The 18413-nt window shown below is 51.8% G+C and overlaps 1 protein-coding gene across 38 annotated transcripts in view, besides 7 other annotated features; it reads right to left on the reverse strand.

The window, feature by feature from the left end:
• CCDC57 (coiled-coil domain containing 57) overlaps positions 1-18413 on the reverse strand; it is a 111373-nt gene that overhangs the window by 88794 nt on the left and 4166 nt on the right. For 12 of the 38 annotated variants that reach the window (XR_001752485.3, XM_047435774.1, XM_047435770.1 and 9 more), the window contains 6 exons: positions 17584-17785; positions 11275-11689; positions 8051-8159; positions 5000-5101; positions 3719-3876; positions 3493-3567 (listed from right to left, as the gene is read on the reverse strand). Coding sequence is in view for 35 of the 38 variants with exons in the window: in XM_047435770.1 (XP_047291726.1) it covers positions 3493-3567; positions 3719-3876; positions 5000-5101; positions 8051-8159; positions 11275-11689; positions 17584-17785 (1061 nt within the window). In the remaining 3 variants the exon portion in view is untranslated. Of the gene's footprint in view, positions 1-170; positions 265-3492; positions 3877-4999; positions 5102-5225; positions 6834-8050; positions 8162-11274; positions 11690-16017; positions 17786-18413 lie in introns of those variants that run through there. The other 26 variants (XR_007065291.1, XM_047435773.1, XM_047435767.1 and 23 more) reach the window with 15 other exon arrangements.
• Positions 14926-15727: an enhancer, noted in NCBI's record as "H3K27ac-H3K4me1 hESC enhancer chr17:80163065-80163866 (GRCh37/hg19 assembly coordinates)". NCBI's record gives its function as "activates a minimal SCP1, AML or CMV promoter by ChIP-STARR-seq in naive and primed H9 embryonic stem cells {active_cell/tissue: H9 hESC(naive and primed)}" and the evidence as "EXISTENCE:reporter gene assay evidence [ECO:0000049][PMID:30033119]".
• Positions 14926-16529: a biological region, named in NCBI's record as "H3K27ac-H3K4me1 hESC enhancers GRCh37_chr17:80163065-80163866 and GRCh37_chr17:80163867-80164668".
• Positions 15504-15683: an enhancer, noted in NCBI's record as "active region_12991". NCBI's record gives its function as "activates an Ori minimal core promoter by ATAC-STARR-seq in GM12878 lymphoblastoid cells {active_cell/tissue: GM12878}" and the evidence as "EXISTENCE:reporter gene assay evidence [ECO:0000049][PMID:35858748]".
• Positions 15610-15904: an enhancer, noted in NCBI's record as "tiled region #14342; HepG2 Activating DNase unmatched - State 5:Enh, and K562 Activating DNase unmatched - State 5:Enh". NCBI's record gives its function as "activates a minimal TATA promoter and a strong SV40 promoter by Sharpr-MPRA in HepG2 and K562 cells {active_cell/tissue: HepG2 | K562}" and the evidence as "EXISTENCE:reporter gene assay evidence [ECO:0000049][PMID:27701403]".
• Positions 15728-16529: an enhancer, noted in NCBI's record as "H3K27ac-H3K4me1 hESC enhancer chr17:80163867-80164668 (GRCh37/hg19 assembly coordinates)". NCBI's record gives its function as "activates a minimal SCP1, AML or CMV promoter by ChIP-STARR-seq in primed H9 embryonic stem cells {active_cell/tissue: H9 hESC(primed)}" and the evidence as "EXISTENCE:reporter gene assay evidence [ECO:0000049][PMID:30033119]".
• Positions 16014-16073: an enhancer, noted in NCBI's record as "active region_12992". NCBI's record gives its function as "activates an Ori minimal core promoter by ATAC-STARR-seq in GM12878 lymphoblastoid cells {active_cell/tissue: GM12878}" and the evidence as "EXISTENCE:reporter gene assay evidence [ECO:0000049][PMID:35858748]".
• Positions 16144-16253: an enhancer, noted in NCBI's record as "active region_12993". NCBI's record gives its function as "activates an Ori minimal core promoter by ATAC-STARR-seq in GM12878 lymphoblastoid cells {active_cell/tissue: GM12878}" and the evidence as "EXISTENCE:reporter gene assay evidence [ECO:0000049][PMID:35858748]".

Genomic DNA, 18413 nt, shown 5'->3' on the forward strand with positions numbered 1-18413 from the left:
CTCATTGTGTTTAGTGTAATACTGTAAACCTTCAATAACACCATGGGACCTATGCAAAGGTCCACCAGTGATGCTGGAAGTGAGCAGAGGAAAGTCATGCATTTGCAAGACAGGTCTGCAGCTGCTGGCCATTCTAAAACACATTAATCCAGTCTGGGTGTGGTGCTCACCCCTGTAATCGCAGCACTTTGGGAGGCCGAGGTGCGCGGACCACTTGAGGACAAGAGTTTGAGACCAGCCTGGCCAGCATGGCAAACTCCATCTCTGCTAAAAATACAAAAATTAGCCAGGTGTAGTGGTGCATGCCTGTACTCCCAGCTACTTGGGAGGCTGAGGCATGAGAATAGCTTGAACTCAAGAGGCAGAGGTTGCAGCGAGCTGAGATTGCACCACTGCACCATCTGCCTGGGCAACAGAGCGAGACTCTGTCTCAAAAAAAAAAAAAAAAAAAAAAAATCTTTTGATAATGGACAATGCCTCTTGCCACCCAGAACCCATGAGTTCAACAGCAAGGTGTTGACGTCGTCTGCTTGCTCCCAGACATAATGCCTCTAATTCAACCTTTATGAGAGGCCATATGGACCTTAAGGCTCACTACACATGGCGCTCTTTGGAAAGGATGTCAATGCTGTGGCCGAAAACCCCCCAGAAAGAAGAACATCCTGAAAGCCTGGCAGGCTTCCACCACTGAAGCCATTGTTGCTATAGAAAAAGCCACGGAAGCCATCCAGCCCAAATAATAAATTCCTGATGAAGAAAGCTGTGTCTAGATGTCGTGCCTGACTTCACAGGATGTCCAATGGTGCCAATCAAGTAAATCATGAGTTGTAATACGGCAAAAAAATAAAAATAAAAAATAAAAAATAAAAAAAAAGGTCAGGGTGCGGGGTGAAGGATTTCACAGCATGGATCTTGGAGAAACCCCAGAGCTGACCCCACAGCAGAGGAATGAACGGGAGACAACTCAATGGGGATGAGTGCTTCCGAACCGGCGCCAGATGATGAGGAAACAGATGTAGAAGAAGCAGTGCCAGAAAAGAAACTGGCATCAGACAGACACTCCTGCAGAAGGGCTCCCATCACTCACGCCTGCCTTGACTTTTTACCACGTGGAACTGTCTATGACGTGGGCACTGAGACTCAAGTGTTAAAGCGGGATTGGCACCATATAGAAACATTTTTAGAGGAAGGAAAAAGTAAAAAAGTCAAATGGAATTACAATGTATTTCTGTCAAGTTACACCAAGGGTACCTGCCTCTCCTGCCCTCCCTTCCACCTCCTCCACCTCTGCCACTCCAGAGACAGCCCATCCTCTGCCTCCTCCTCAACCTCCTCAATGTGAAGATGATGAGGATGAAGAGCTATAAGATGATCTGCTTCCACTTAACAAACGGTAAACATATTTTCTAAGATTTTTTTTTAAGACAGGGTCTCACTTTGTCACCCAGGGTAGAGTGCTGTGGCACCACCTCGGCTCACTACAGGCTCCACATCCCAGATTCAAGTGATCCTCCTGCCTCTACACTCCAAGTAGCTGGGACTACAGGCGTGAGCTGTCACACCTGGCTAATTTTTTGTATTTTTTGTAGAGAAGGGGTTTTGCTATGTTGCCTAGGCTGGTCTTGAACTCCAGAGCTGAAGCAATCCACCTGCCTCGGCCTCCCAAAGTACTAGGATTATAGGTGTAGGCCACCATGCCCAACCTAATTCTACTTTTTTATGACTTTTTTTTTTTTTTTTGAAACAGAGTCTCACTCTGTCACCCAGGCTGGAGTGCAGTGGCGCGGTCTCGGCTCAGTGAAACCTCCACCTCCCAAGTTCAAGTGATTCCCCTGCCTCAGCCTGCCAAGTAGCTGGGATTACAGGCGTGCACCACCACGCCCGGCTAATTTTGTATTTTTCGTAGAGACGGGGTTTCACCATGTTGGTCAGGCTGGTCTCAAACTCCTGACCTCAAGTGATCCCCCTGACTCAGCCTCCCAAAGTGCTGTGTGATTATTTTAATGACATTTTCTTTCCTCTAGCTAGCATTACTTTAAGAATCAGCATAGGATACACACAACATGCCCAATGTGTGTTAATGAACTGTGTTATCAGTAAGGCTTCTGGTCAACAGTAGGTTCTAAGTAGTTAAGTTTTTGGGGAGTGAAAAGTTATATGTGAATTTTTGACCTCATGGGGCTAGATGCCCCTAACCCCCTCACTGTTTAAGCATCAACTGTATTTCAATTTATGATTTTGAAAAATGCCAGGTGTAGACTTAAAAACACACGAAGAGAAACAGTGTTTGTCCAGCTTCATCATGGCCACACGGTGCAGCTAAGCAAGCAGTCCTGCACCACTGCCATCTGCACTGTGTCTGTTTGGGCTCGACTGCCTCGGTTTCCTCATCTAGGTAGAGAACCCGGATGGGTGCCCTCACAATGCGAGCCAGCTGAGGGCACAACCCTCTCTCGCTGCCACCAGTAGGGTCTGCAGAGCAGGCTGGAAAGCAGCTTCCCACTGCAGATCTGATTAGAAACAGCACAGACAGTGTCCTTGAAGTTCTTCTGGATTTATACAACTGCACAAATATCATGTCAATAAAAAATGCAAGAAAAATCGCCTGAGTCACTGTCCATCGCCGTTGTATTACACAGTGTCTTTTTGTATTTTTAGTAGAGATGGGGTTTCACTGTTGGTCAGGGTGGTCTCGAATTCCTGACCTCAAGTGATCCACCCACCTCGGCCTCCCAACATTCTGGGATTACAGGCCTGAGCCACCGCGCCCAGCCAGGTGTTAAAAATTTTGTGTTTTGTTTTGTTTTGTTTTTGAGACAGGGTCTCATTCTATGGCCCAGGCTGGAGTACAGTGGCACAATCATGGCTCACTGCAGCCTCAATCTCCCAGGCTCACATGATCTTCCTACTGCACCTAGTCCAAGTTCTACGTTTTACAGCACTAAGAAGTCTAAACATCACCGAGAAAGTCCAGAGCATAAACAGAAATCCAAAGCAAGGCTGGGTGTGGCGGCTCATGCCTATAATCGCAGCACTTTGGGAGGCCAAGGAGGTGGGCGGGTCATTTGAGGCTAAGAGTTCAAGACCAGCCTGGCCAACATGGTGAGACCCTGTCTCTACTAAAAATACAAAAATTAGCCAGGCATGGTTGTGCACGCCTATAGCACCAGCTATTTGGGAGGCTGAGACACGAGAATTGTTTGAACCCGGGAGGGGAGGATGCAGTGAGCCAAGATCACACCACGGCAATCCAGCCTGGGCACAGAGCAAGACCCTGTCAAAAAAAAAAAAGCAAGCAAGAAAGCAAGAAAGCAAGCAAGCAAGAAAGAAAGGAAGAAAAAGAAGGAGAAAGAAATCCAAAACAGCGGGCTCCCAGGTCCGATCCCTGGAGTGGGACCCTCTGCTCCCTGGGCCATCAGCACAATGGTTCCACTTCCCTCCTCTCCTGGGGCCACTGACATGCTGCATGATGTTGGGAGCCGAAACACTCACTTCCTCTTAAATGTTTCCTCTTCCTTCTTCCTGGTTAGCTGCACAGAGTGAAGTTTATCCTCTAAATCCTTTACCCTGAAAAGAAACAAATATTTATGGAAGGAGCAAGTGAGATGAAAGCAAAGACCAGCCTGGAATGAGCAGAAAAGGTAGAATCCCCCAGACTCCAGTCCTGGCCTGCGAGGCTGCCACAGAGCACGCCTCGGGAGATGAAGGACTCGCGCACCGGGCGCGGCTCATGGCCTCCAGGTCCTGGAGCTCCCCGGCTCGGCTCTGGAGCTTCCTCTCCAGCTCGGCGTTGGTGGCCTCTGCCCTCTGCAGACTCTCTGCAGCCTTTGCCCCGGCTTCCTTCAGAGCCTCCAGCTCTTTGTGCAGTAGTTTAACCTTTGAATGATAAAAATGAGTTCAAAATGAGGTGATAATTAGAAGACACTGAGGCATTAGGGGTACATACTGCTGTTTTATCAGGATTGGGAGGGAGAAGAAAAATGAAAATTCAAGAAGCAGTAAAACAGTGAGAATGTCCTAACACAACTCAAACGAGACTCAATGACTTTTTTTTTTTTCTTTTTGGAGACAGAGTCTTGCTCTGTTGCCCAGGCTGGAGTGCAATGGCGTGATCTCGGCTCACTGCAACCTCCCCCTCCTGGGTTCAAGCAATTCTCCTGCCTTAGCCTCACGAGTAGCTGGGATTACAGGCACCCACCACCACACCCAGCTAATTTTTGTATTTTTAGTAGAGACAGGGTTTCCCATGTTGGCCAGGCTGGTCTCAAACTCCTGACCTCAGGTGATCCACCCGCCTCAGCCTCCCAATGTGCTGGGATTACAGGTGTGAGCCACCGTGCCCGGCCTTCATTGACCCCCTGACAGCACTCAGTACCCCACCAAAATCAGTCTATTAGGGTGCCCCATACATGTCCAAGCCCAACAGACCAATTTAACTGCACTTCATTTCTTAGCACATAATTTGAAAGTTATTTAAATAAGGAAATTAAACACAAAGCCAGGGGTCTAGGAAGGGGCTCAGTGCTGAGCAAGCCACTCGCGTCCCAGCTGCACACTGAGCTCTTCGGTACCTTCCTGGGCCTGTTTCCCAGCCTGTAAGCCACGGGTGGTGACGATGGCTGCTGCACCCAAGCCTGCTGACATGAGGACCGGGCTGCGCCCGGCATGGGCAGGCGTCGAGACTCAGCTCTTGCTTTTCCTACTGATCTGTGCACCGTGATGCCCACCACGGGCAGGTGTCCAGGGCTGTGACCAAATCACACAGCAGATGCAGGCGGAGGTGAACTGGCACCCGGTGCCCACCTTTGACGGGAGTGCCCACCCTGCCATGGGGCACAGGGCATCCACATGGCCCACCTGCTCGCTGGGCTTGAACTCCTGGGCCCAAGGGATCCTCTTGCCTTGGTCTCCCAAAGTGCTGAGATGACAGGTGTGAGCCACCACACCTGACCAAGGAAAAACCGAAAAACCTTCACGACCCAAGGGTGCCCCCAGTTACCTTAAGCTCCCGGGACAAGGCTGTGTTGCTCATGTTGTCAGCCTGCAGACGGAATTCGTGCTCCCTCTTCCGCATTTTCGATTCAAACTCCAGCAGCAGTTCCTGGAACAAACAGGTTTCATGATGAAAGAACAGTGGGAACCCAGCAAAGACCCCCACCCACGTCCTGGGAGGTGGGATCCAGAGGTGAGCAGGACACAGTGTTTAACAGAGAAGGACCACACACACTGTCCAGGAGAGAAGCTGGGGTCAGCGACACTGGTAACAGCACTCTGGGAGGCCGAGGCGGGAGGATCGCTTGAGCCCAGGAATTCAAGACCAGCCTGGGCAACACAGTGAGGCCCTGTCGCTACAGAAAAAAAAAAGAAAAGAAAAAGAAAAATCCTTATCTCCATTGAGTCAATTCTACCTCTGACAATAACAAACACCAAGATCTTCCAAAACAAGACAAGAAATCAGAGCAAAGGAAACCATGAAACTGACAAGCACGTAAGACCCTAGCTTAGTAACTAAAAGGCTGAGATGCCGGCAGTAGAACAGAGCTTCCCGACAGCCAGTGCCAGCATCCCAGAGCCCACACAGGATCGGACTACCCAGAACCACACCGGATGTGTGCTGCCCAAGTTTCCCCTAGTAACCAAAGCTGCCACGTTAAAACGTCACGTTTCCTTCTTTCCAGAGACAAGGATACTATCTGAACATGATAAAAAATCCATGTTCCCAACGTCTGAGATGGCTCTCCCTGAACGAGCCCTGCTGAGTCTGAGAAATTCGGCGTGGACAGCCTGGGAAGTCAGCCATAGTCACGGCCCAGCCAGAAACTCTGACAAGAATGGCTGCGCCCTGCCAACTACAACCAGCCTCAAATCGCCACTGTCCCCAGATGCTGCCAAGAGCCCCCCACCTGCTGGGCAGGACCACCCACAGCTGGATCCTCCTCAAACTCCTTCTTTGGAAGTGACTTTGGAGCCACTTGAGGAAGCCTCACTACTTAGAAAAGTCACCACTGGTCTCTTACTGACCACGGATTTTAGACGCTGGCTTCATGCCTAAAGAACTCCGGCTGTTCTCAAACTCATCCATAATCGACAAAGCTCTTTGGTTTCTGAGAATTCCAAGAGAAAGTCCTCTGCAGGCCATTTCAGAAGCAGCCTCAGGGACCTGTGAACAACGGGAGTGAGCTCAGCACTTCCGGGGACAACTGGACAGTCCACAGGAGGGCCCATCATGACGTGAGCGTGGCCTCCTTCTCTGCTGACCTGACTGTGGCAAATTAGTGACACACTGGCCTATCCTACTATGACCAAGCTCCCAACATCCGACAGGACCAGAGAGGGGACCCTGTCACACCTGCACAAAGCCCTTCATCACTGCTGCACCTGCACAGACGCAGCCCCTTATGACACCCCCATAGACACAGCTTCTAGTAACACTTACACCTACCTGCATAGACAGAGCCATTTATTACACCTGCACCTGCAGAGACGCAGCCCCTCATCACACCTGCACCTTCACAGAAGAAGCCCCTCAGGACACCTGCAGAGACGCAGCCCCTCATGACTCCTGCACCTGCAGAGACGCAGCCCCTCGTGACTCCTGCAGAGACGCAGCCCCTCATGACTCCTGCACCTGCAGAGACGCAGCCCCTCGTGACTCCTGCACCTGCAGAGACGCAGCCCCTCGTGACTCCTGCACCTGCAGAGACGCAGCCCCTCGTGACTCCTGCAGAGACTCAGCCCCTCGTGACTCCTGCAGACGCAGCCCCTCATGACTCCTGCAGAGATGCAGCCCCTCGTGACTCCTGCAGAGACGCAGCCCCTCGTGACTCCTGCACCTGCAGACACACAGCCCCTCATGACTCCTGCACCTGCAGAGACACAGCCCCTCGTGACTCCTGCAGACGCAGCCCCTCGTGACTCCTGCAGAGACGCAGCCCCTCATGACACCTGCAGAGACGCAGCCCCTCGTGACACCTGCACCTGCAGAGACGCAGCCCCTCATGACACCTGCACCTGCACAGGCACAGCCCCTCATCACACGTAAACCTGCAGAGATGCAGCCCCTTGTCACATATGCACACAGTGGCAGCATCTCTGACTGTGGTCTCTAGATATAAATCTATAGGATGTCTTTCAACAAAACCCCAGCACAGCTGAGTCTCTTGGAGGTGTAGGCTGAGTTTCCAGAACATTGAGGAGAAATTCGGTGACTGCCACTTTTCAGTTGAAGCATCTGTTTTTAAACTTATCATAATTGAATTCCAAATTCTTTTCCATAGTAAATAATTCATGTTTTTAAAATTATACCTTTCTAAAAATAAATTTAAAAGTTTCATCATTTCTGAGGTGTGCTGGTTAATTCCATGTGTCAAATGACTGGGCTACGGGCTGCCCGGATAGCTGGTAAAAAATTATTTCTGGGAGTGTCTGCAAGGGTGTTTCCAGAAGAGACTAGCCCTCCTCCTGTGGATGGGCGTCATTCAATCCACTGAGGGCCTGAATAGAACGAAATGCAAGGAAGGGTGAACTCGCTCTCTCTGCTTGAGCTGAGACACTCGCCTTCTCCTGCCCTTGGACATTGGGCTCCTGCATCTTGGGCCTTCAGAGCTGGACCAGGACTCACATCAGTGGCTCCCTGGTGCTCAGGCCTTTGCCCCTGGGCTGAATTACACCACCAGCTTCCCAGGTTTTCCAGCTTGCAGATGACAAACTGTGGGACTTCATGGCCTCCGTAACTGCACGAGTGAATTCCTACAATTTATCTCCTATATATCTACACGTCTCCTATTGCCTGTTTCCCTGGAGAACCCTGACTAATCCATGAGGAAAGAAAACAAGGAAACACTGTGGAGGTGGCTGCATGTAGACATCCCATCCTGTTTCCCTGCAGACCATCCCAGAGTGGCATCTGCCCCAAAGACCCCATTTTACTCCCAAGGAGAATGCAGGCAATGAACCAAATGGTTGTCTTTTCCTCAGCCCTATATGATTTCAGTTTCACAGTGGGCAGGCAGGGAAAGCACCCAGGAAGGGGCCGACCCAGAGGCTCTACCTGTCTCTGCAGAGCAAGCTCACCGTCGAGCTCCTCAAGTTTTCTCTCCAGTGTCCATTTTAGATTTTCATACTGTTCCCGGTGGTGGTCAATCTCACCATTCTTGTCACTATGGTAATAAAACAGCATTAAGAAAAGCCATACCAAATATTCAGCAAAGGTAATACATTTTCAAGGTGCACTTGACATGTGAAAGTTGGTGCTTTGCTTTTATGAAGGGGTGGCTTCAGCAGGACCCACGGGGTAGCAGAACTTCCAGCCCCACCTGGACCAGCATGCTACACCCATCTATAAAAGAGGAAATTAAATAGGGCCCAGAGTCTCACAACATAAAACCCAAAATGTCCAGGATACAATTAAAAAAAAAACCTGACAACCAAAAACCGGAAAGATCTGACCAGGCCCAGTGGCTCACGCCTGTAATCCCAGCACTTTGGGAGGCCGAGGTGGGCGGATCACAAGGTCAGGAGATCGAGAGCATCCTGGCTAACACGGTGAAACCCCGTCTCTACAAAAAAATACAAAAAAAATTAGCCGGGCGTGGTGGCGGGCGCCTGTAGTCCCAGCTACTCGGGAGGCTGAGGCAGGAGAATGGCGTGAACCCGGGAGGTGGAGCTTGCAGTGAGCTGAGATCGTGCCACTGCACTCCAGCCTGGGCGACAGAGCGAGACTCCATCTCAAAAAAAAAAAAAAAAAGAAAAAGGAAAAAAAAGAAAGATCTGAGCTTGAAGGAGAAAAGATAATAGGTAGATGCCAACACCAAGATGACACAGACGCTGGAATTCTTCAACAAGGAAGCTACAGCAGTCATTATAAAAGCGCTTCAAGTAATCTAGTAAAGCAAATGGAAAAACAAATCTCAGCAAAGAAAAAGCTATAGCAGGCTGGGTGTGGTGGCTCACGCCTGTAATTCCAGCGCTTTGGGAGGCCAAGGCAGGTGGATCACCCGGGGTCAGGAGTCCAAGACCAGCCTGGCCAACATGGTGAAACCCCATCTCCACTAAAAATACAAAAATTAGCCGGGCATGGTGGCACACACCTGTAGTGACAGCTCCTCGGGAGGCTGAGGCAGGAGAACCCCTTGAACCCCGGAGGCAGAGGTTGCAGTGATCCGAGATCGCGCCACTGCACTCCAGCCTGGGCGACAGAGCAAGACTCTGTCTCAAAAAAAAAAAAAGAGTGTGAGACTGAAAAAGTACCTGAACATGGCTGAAAACATCCCAGGTTTGGAGAGAAGAATGAGCAAAAGACTTGAAGAGACACTTCACAACATAACGTAAAGCACTTTTAAAAGGATGCTGTAAACACTCTGGAAAGCAGCTATGAGAAAGTCAGCACCCGCACGGCGGGCAAGTGGGCCTCAGCTGTCCAAGCACTGCACGCACCTGCACGGACTCGGCGCCCAGACGAGGTGCAGGCTGAGCACCAGCCTTCATGCTGGGGACGGGAGCTTCCAGACACCCTCCCTCCACTCAGGGAGAAGCTGACCTCCAGCTCAACTCTCTCTTTCCCTGGACACTGGGCAGGTGGCACACGGGTGTCTACCACATTAGCAAGCAGCACTGCGTGGGTCAAATGACTGCTGACTGGCACTTTTTATCCACGCCGCGAGATGCGATAGAGAGAGGGACCATCAACACTGTGGGCTTCCCAGAAGACGGTGGCGCTCAGGGTACATCTGCTGCAGGGACTGCAGACGCGATCCCTGCGGGCTGCTACAGGAGATACTGGCTGCACAATACTGGTTGGGGCTTCTGAGCTAGAGGGGCACCACACCCACCAATGTGGGTCTCCTCTCCTTGCACCTGACCTGCCGCAGAAGGTCTCTCTGCTGGACCGGAGCACCTGGTGTGGTCCTGTTGGCCCGTTCACACCCATCTGAGACCCTTCTGAGCAAACCGGCCCAACACACACAACAGAGGGTAGCTGGTCAGTTAAAAGGGCGTGGCAGAACCCAGCGCACTGACACGAAGGACAGACACCACAAATCGATCAGGAAGTGCTGGACGCACATTTCGGAGCAGTGTGCGCAGGTGGCTCTATATGGGGCCTGGAGATGACACAACAGATTGCCCGTGGCGGCTTTCACTTCGCCATTCCACCACAGTATCTTCTCTGAGAAATGACTTTCTATGATAAGAATAGTTTACTCCTGCGGCTTTAAAAAGTGCTTTAAAAAGCTGCTTATGGCCAGGCGCGGTAGCTCACGTCTATAATCCCAGCACTTCAGGAAGCCAAGGCCAGTGGATCACCTGAGGTCAGGAGTTCAAGACCAGCCTGGGCAACATGGCAAAACCCCGTCTCTACTAAAAATACAAAAGAAAAAAAAATTAGCCGGGCGTGGTGGTGGGCACCTATAGTCCCAGCTACGTGGGAGGCTGAGGCAGGAGAATCACTTGAACCCGGGAGATGGAGGTTGCAGCGAGCCGAGATCACGCTACTGCGATCCAGCCTGGACAACACAGCTAAAAACTCTGTCTCAAAAAAAAAGAAAAGAAAAAAAATGCTGCTTATGTTAGAAGAATACATAAAACATAAAAAAAGTACCCAGGATCCTGTTAAGTGTAAACAGAGCATGCAGCCGGCTCTCCTAACGTCTGTACACACGCATCACACAGGAAGGGCCTCTGTTAATGTGCTATGATGAACCTGCGGTACTTCTGAAGTGGGGGATGGAAGAGCTTATCAGAGAAGCCTGTCCTCCTTCCTTCCTGTCTCCTCAAACTCTCCACAGCATGGCTGGGTGAGTGGAGCTGAGGGGATACCAGGCATGTGGTTGAGTTCCAGGGGCCCCACCACAGGCCCCACAACAAAGGCTTTAGGTTTTTATGTCGACTTGCCTTAAGTCAGCTCATTTAGTTTTGAAATTACTACAGACTTCCATTAAAATCATTATAAATTCAAATATGTATTAATATAGATTTATAATTAATGAAATAAATTCCAAATATTAAAACCAATCTCCATTAATTTCAGAGTTATATCAGAACCCAGAAAAAGACAGTCAGGGCATTCCTGGATCCATCCACATTAACTCAACAAACACATGTTCAGAGGCCACGAGGCACTCGGCCACTCAGACAGACCAGCTCCCGTGGCCTGGAATCAGCAGCGGGAGGAGGGGCAGTGAGAGTGGGCAGTGCTCGGGCAGCACAGCGGAGCAGGAGGCATGTGGGGGCCTCTGCCAGGCACTGCACAGGAGGGCGCGTCGGTCGGTGGCTCACCTGTGGACGCGCTCCAGCTCCAGGCGATGCTCCTGGAATGCCAGCTGCTGCTGCTGCTGCAGCTCCTCCACCTTCCTGGCCTCTCTGGCTAGCGCCTGCCTCAGCTTAGCTGCCTCTATCTTGAGCTCGCTCACCTCTGCCCGCCTGGCCTCTTCCCACTCCCTGGCCTGGGCGAAGGCGGCGTCATAGCGCTCCAGCTCGAGGTCCCGCTCCTCCAGCACCTGAAGGTTGTAGACAAAGTCCTCCTGCAGGCACCGCAGTTTCCCCTGCGCCTCCTCCAGCTGGCTCCGTGTGTCCTGCAGAGCCGCCTCCTGCAGCTGGGTGCGGTGTGCCTGCAGCGCCCTCCACTCCTCCTCCTTGCGAAGCAGCAGCTCATTCAGGGCGGGCTCTGAGCCCAGTGGCAGCATGGTGGCCGCTGCAGTAAAGAGAAATCAGGTTCAGGGTGCACCGTGAGGGGCCCTAATTTTCCTACCACAGTACCTACCTCACATTCCCTATCAACAGTTACCACGGCCGGGCACGGTGGCTCACACCTGTAATCCCAGCCCTTTGGGAGGCCGAGGCAGGCGGATCACCTGAGGTCAGGAGTTCAAGACCAGCCTGGCCAACATGGCAAAAACCTGTCTCTACTAAAAATACAAAAATTAGGCCGGGTGCAGTGGCTCACGCCTGTAATCCCAGCACTTTGGGAGGCCCAGGTGGATGGATCACTTGAGGTCAGGAGATCGAGACCAGCCTGGCTAACATGGTGAAACCCCGTCTCTACTAAAAATACAAAAAATTAGCCTGCTGTGGTGGCACGTGCCTGTAGTCCCAGCTACTCGGGAGGCTGAGGCAGGAGAATCGCTTGAACCCAGGAGGTAGAGGTTGCACACCAGCCTGGGTGACAGAGCAAGACTCTCTCTCAAAACAAAATAAACAAAAAAAAAAGGCCAGGCATGGTGGCTCACTCCTGTAATCCCAGCCCTTTGGGAGGCCAAAGTGGGTGGGTCACCTGAGGTCAGGAGTTTGAGACCGGCCTGGCCAACATGGTGAAACCCCGTCTCTACTAAAAATATAAAAATTAGCCATGCATGGTGGCGCATGCCTGTGATCTCAGCTACTCGGGAGGCTGAGGCAGGAGGATCACTTGAACCCAGGAAGTGGAGGTTGCAGTGAGCAGAGATCGCACCATTGCACTCCAGCCTGGGCGACACTAAGACTCTTTTCTCCAAAAAATTAAAAAAATAAATTAAAAAAAAGAAATCCAGGGGAAGTAGAGGAAGGGAAGATGGGAAACATGGTTTGTCCAGCTATAAGAGCTAGGTTCTATAAAATAGCTTCAACGCAGCACTCTGTCCATTTCACAGCTGAGAAAACTAAGGCTGCTAAGTGGCTACGTGAGGACTGACAGCAGGTCAGTCCCTCAGAACCAATGCCCCTTCCCACCCAACACCCTGCTCCTGGAAGATTCACCACCTGATATGGTTTCGATATTTATCCCTGCCCAAACCTTTGTGGAATTGTAATCCCCAACGGGGGAGCTGGGGCCTGGTGGGAGGTGTTTGGATCATGTGGGCGGACCCCTCGTGGCTTGGTGCCGTCTTTGTGACAGTGAGTTCTGGGGAGATTTGGTCATTTCAAAGTGTGTGGTGACAATGAGTTCTAGTGAGATGTGGCATCTCTCCACCACTCACACTCCCCTCTTGCTTCGTGCCTGCTCCTCTTTCACCTTCCGCCATGAGTAAAAGTTTCCTGAGGCCTCCCCAGAAGCGGGTGCCAACACTGTGCTTCCTGTACAGCCAGGAGAACCGTGAGCCAATTAATCTTTCTTTATAAATTACCCAGCGTCAGGTATTTCTTTCCAGCAATGTGAGAATGGTCTAATATACCATCCGAGAGTACATTCTTTTGTTCTTTTATTTGTTCATCATGGACTGATATTTTGGTAAAACCATAAAAATAAAGTGCTACAAAAAATAAAATTTAAAAACAAAAATCACAAAAACCAATAAGCTGGGCACAGTAGCTCTCGCCTGCAATCCCAACATTTTCTGAGGCTGAGGTGGGTGGGTCATTCAAACTCAGGAGTTCCACGCTGCAGTGAGTGGTCTATTAAAAGATAAAGTTTCTTCTGGCTGGTCCTAGCTGCCCCCAACCCTTTAGAGGTCCAAGTATGAGCTCGATTTGGACACAGAAATCCCCCACAACTCTTCTCTGGTGTCCACACAGGGGAACTGCATGGCCTAAAAGGGCCACACCCAGTTGGGGGACAAGCACAAACTTCCGGCCTGGTGGGACATGGCCGGGGTGCTGCTGCCAGAGCAGGAAAAAGCCCCAGCCTGTCTTAGGGTACCTCTGTATCTCCGGGCACCTCTGCATCTCGGGGCACAGCAATGGTTGTACAAAGTCCCAACTCCCAGAGGGAGCGGGTACAAGGGCACAGCCAGGCTGAGCACCGGCTGTGACGAAGCACAAGGAGGAGGTGGGTAAGGGGCTGCAAGACCCGTGGGCCCCTCCAGAAAGGGCTGGTCAGCAGGGCACACCCGCTGGGGGCACGAGGGCTCCCTGGGGGTCCTGAGACGGCGCTTCTCTGACGAGGCTCTGGAGCAAAGACGGTCTCCTCCATCCCACATGCTTCCTGCGATGCAACCCCCGCGCCCAGCACCCTAGGACCATCACGCCACCTGGACCACCTCAGCCTGGCTCCTCCAAGCTGCTGCGTGCCCACCCATTGCCGGAGCTAACAGGGTCCCTACCGACCATCTCAGCACTCTCCCACGCTCCTGTTCCTCGTCTCCCTCAGCTCCTACAACGGCCCCACCGTCCACCCCGTGTAATGATCCTTGACCTCTTGCTGTCTCCCACCTTGTGCCCACACCTCGGCCACCACAGTGTCTTACCACAAGAGACCTCAACTGGCCTCTGCTGTGCACTCCCACTTTTTTGGCTGCCAAAGGAATCTTTTCAAAAATGCTTTACCAGGGCCGGGCGCAGTGGCTCATGCCTGTAATCCCAGGACTTTGGGAGGCCGAGGCGGGCGGATCATAAGGTCAGGAGATTGAGACCATCCTGGCTAACACGGTGAAACCCCGTCTCTACTAAAAATACAAAAAATTAGCTGGGCGTGGTGGTGGGCGCCTGTAGTCCCAGCTACTTGGGAGGCTGAGGCAGGAGAATGGCGTGAACCCCGGAGGCGAAGCTTGCAGTGAGCTGAGATCGCACCACTGCAGTCCGGCCTGGGCAACAAAGAGAGACTCCATCTCAAGAAAAAAAAAAGGCTTAACCAGGCTTCCCATTCCACTGAGGACATCTGGACCCCAGGCTCCTGCCTGTCGCTGCCACGTGCCCTCAGAGCCTGGGATGTGTGGCAGGTGCCGCTCTGTCTGCAAGGTTCCTCCTAACCGCAGGGCAGGCTCCTCCTGCCAGTGGGACCTCAACCTGAACATCACTGCAGGGAAGCTTTCCTAACTTCCATCTCACGTTGGCACAACGCCATCACCCCAGTGTCGGGTGTAGTGAGTCCCACTGTCTGGCACAGTCTTGGCGACTGAAACATTTTGTACACAGAGGACATGCACACACCTGTGCACACACCTGTGCACACACAGGGAAAGAATTGGACTATCAGCAAATACACATTAAATGATGGAACACCACTGTGATCTCTGATGACTCAGAACCCTTCACACAGTGCCCGTGAGTCATGACAACGGTTCTCTGCAGAGCCTGAGGTCTGCGAGGTCTACGGGCCTCTTCTCTGAGGGACTGCTGTGGCCCCCGTCCTGTACCAGCTGCCCTGCCACTGGGCTTGCCTCCTTAACTCATTGGTCGCAGCCACCCATGGGGGTTGCCGTTCTGAGAATCTGATCATGCAATCTTATCTGGCCTCAAATGTGCCCGCGACTCCTGACCATTTTCAAAATAAAGTCCGATCTCCTTGGCACAGCGTATGAAGACAGACCGAGGACACGGCCCAGCCTGCGTGGCTCCAGCTGCTCCCTGCAGGCCCAGAGCAGCCTTTATCTGCCAGTTCCTGTGCACGTGCTACTCCAGGTCCCCATGCCCCCATCTCCCCACTGGGTGAGGTTCCTTCCCACCAGGTCTCAGGACTCAGCGGGTCACCCTGTTTTCAAAAGCTTCAGGCAGCCAGGACAGGCAGATGGCACGTACCACCCCCTCTATGTGAGATGGGTGCTCCCAGGCCTCTGTGCTCTGCACAGAAGAGCAGCCTGAAAAATCCATACAGCAAGTGACTCGGTGCAGCACCCGGTGAGAGCCCAGCATCTCCAGCGCTTTATCCATCACACTCAGGACCCATAAGAAGCCCCACACACCAAGGGCCTGTAAGTCAGCCGGGCTCGGCTCGCCTTTCCTTCTGACCTCATCATAGAACGGCCTGCTCTGTTTCTGTACAAATCCCATCTCGGGATGATCCCCAAAGCCCCAAGGCTGAGATTAATTGGCTTTCAAAAGCACGGACTCAGCATCTGGACGCAATCTGCCTGTCGGCCAGCAGGCGTCCCCAGCAAGCACCTGGTTTCAAGAAGGACCATGAAGCTTCCGGGTTGGGGAGCGGCAGGAGAAGCCGCCGGGGAGGGAAGGCCTCGCTGTGCGTTCACCCTCTTTCAGGAGAACCAGTGGGGCTCCCTGAACCAGCCAGCTCCCAGCAGGGGCTGGAACAGCATGGGTGGGCATCCCATCACTTTGATTTTCTCATTTTAAAAATACTGAGCTGAGCTAACGGTGATGTTGTAGGTTTACCTGTTGTGGTACAATGACACATCATGGTTTTCTTGCACAGTTCCTGGCTCATAACTCTCACACGTCACAGTCTTTTGTTGCAATGTTGGGCGTGTCAGGCCTCAGGAAACAGAATCCTTCCAGGTCTCCACTCTCACCTGACTTTCCATTGTAGGTCATAAGATCCTCCCCAGAGCTCCCACCCTCTACCCTGGGGGAAGGAATGCTGACTTCAGGAAGCCTCCCTAAACACCCAAGAGGACAGGGTGTGGAGAGGTTCCTGGGGAGTGGTGGGTGGGGTGTGGGGGGGTCCTCCAGGAAGCCTCTTCCCCCATATCTCCCCTTACGCATCTCCTCATCTGTATCCTCTGTAATACCCTTTATAATAAACTGTTACACGTATGTGTTTCCCTGGGTTCTGTGAGTCACCCCAGCAAATCAATCGAACCCAAAGAGGGGGCTGTGGGAACCCCAACTTGAAGCCAGTGGTCAGTCAGAAGTTCCGGAGGCCAGGACTCGCGACTGGTGTCAGAAGCGGGCAGTCTTTGAACCACCATTGCAAAATTATAACTCAGACAGTGAAAGAGATCTGACCTAACCAATTCCATCGTGCTTCTAACCTCCAAGCTCTCCTTGTTCATTCCTGGGTGTAGGCCGAACTAAGTTTAGGAGGAACTTAGTTTATAGTTTGAAACAAAGACAGTAACAGCCCTTTCCCGAAACAAACCCCCTTTTTGCCTGGGGACTAGACTGCCTTTGTAGGACTAACAAATTAGCCAAAAGATTAGAAATTATGGTTTAGGGCCAGGTGCAGTGACTGGCCCCGGTTGTCCCAGCACTTTGGGAGGCTGAGGCTGGATCACTTGAGCCCAGGAGTTCGAGACCAGCCAGGGCCACACGGCAAAACGCTGCCTCTACCAAAAATACAAAAATTAACTGGGGCGTCGCTTGTAGTCTCAGCTACCAGGCAGGCTGAGGTGGGAGGATCGCTTGAGCTTACGACGTTGAGGCTGCAGTGAGCTGTGATTGCACCACTGCACTCCAGCCTAGGTGACAGAGTGAGACCCTGTCTCAAAAATAAAAAAAAAAAAACAAAAAAGAAATTATGGTTTAGGAGTCATGCAGCTACAGGCTACAAGATTCTGACCTTCCCCAAATTGTTCCTGGGGTAACATCACTATTGTAAAACCTAAGATCAATCAGTGCTTGAGATATTTTGCAGACCCTGCACTCCATGGATCAGCTGGCACCCCCGGATTGATAAACTGGCTCATCCGATCTTGTGGCCCCCACCCAGGAACTGACTCGGCGCAAAAGGACACCTTCGACTCCCTACGCTTTCATCTCCAACTCACTGGCCCCCTACACACTAAGTTATCCTTAAAAACTCTGATCCCCGAATGCTTGGGGAGACTGATTTGAGTCATAATAGAACTCCGTTCTCCCGCACAGCCGGCTCTGTGTGACTTACTCTTTCTCTATCCTAATTCCCGTCTTGGTGAATCGGCTCTGCCTGGGCAGCAGGCGGGGTGGACCTGTTGGGTGTTTATGTCTTGGGTGTTTATGTCTTGGGGACTGAGCCCTCACCCTGTGGTCTGACCTCTCTCCAGGCAGGCGGTGTTGGAACTGAACCGAAGGACACCCGCCGAGTCTGCGGCAGAACTGACTGCTCATGTGCTGGTGAAAACCTCCCTCTCCCACCACATTTGATCACAGAAGTCTTCCTCTGTGCTGATGATTCTTGTGGTATCAGAGTAGAGGAAAAACAGTTTGAGTTTTCCAGAAATACCTGTGAATAAAATACACATAAAATAAAATCTACTAAAAATACACAGAGAAGGGGTTTCTCCATGTTGGTCAGGCTGGTCTGGAACTCCCAAACTCAGGTGATCCACCTGCCTCGGCCTCCCAAAGGGCCGGGCGCAGGTGTGAGCCACTGCGCCCAGCCCAAATATATATATTTTTATGACCTCCATGTATAAATATATTTAATACCCTTAACTTATTATTATTATTTTAGACAGTCTTGTTTTCTTGCCCAGGCTGGAATGCAGTGGCGCGATCTTGGCTCACTGCAACCTCTACCTCCTGGGTTCAAGCTATTTTCCTGCCTCAGCCTCCCAAGTAGCTGGGATTACAGGCGCCCGCCACCATGCCCGGCTAATTTTTGTACTTTTAGTAGAGATGGGGTTTCACCATCTTGGCCAGGCTGGTCTTGAACTCCTGACCTCGTGATTCACCCGCCTCGGCCTCCCGAAGTGCTGGGATTACAGGCGTGAGCCACCGTGCCTGGCCTAATACCCTTAACTTATAAGACACTTCCTGGGACTGGAAGGCAGGTCTGGGGTGGCTCATTCACTTTGTACTCAGGACAGAGGACTCAATCTCAGCATCCTGAGTAGCTGGGACTACAGGCA

This window comes from Homo sapiens, chromosome 17 (assembly GCF_000001405.40).
Source record: "Homo sapiens chromosome 17, GRCh38.p14 Primary Assembly".
In the NCBI taxonomy this organism is placed as follows: Eukaryota; Metazoa; Chordata; class Mammalia; order Primates; family Hominidae; genus Homo; species Homo sapiens.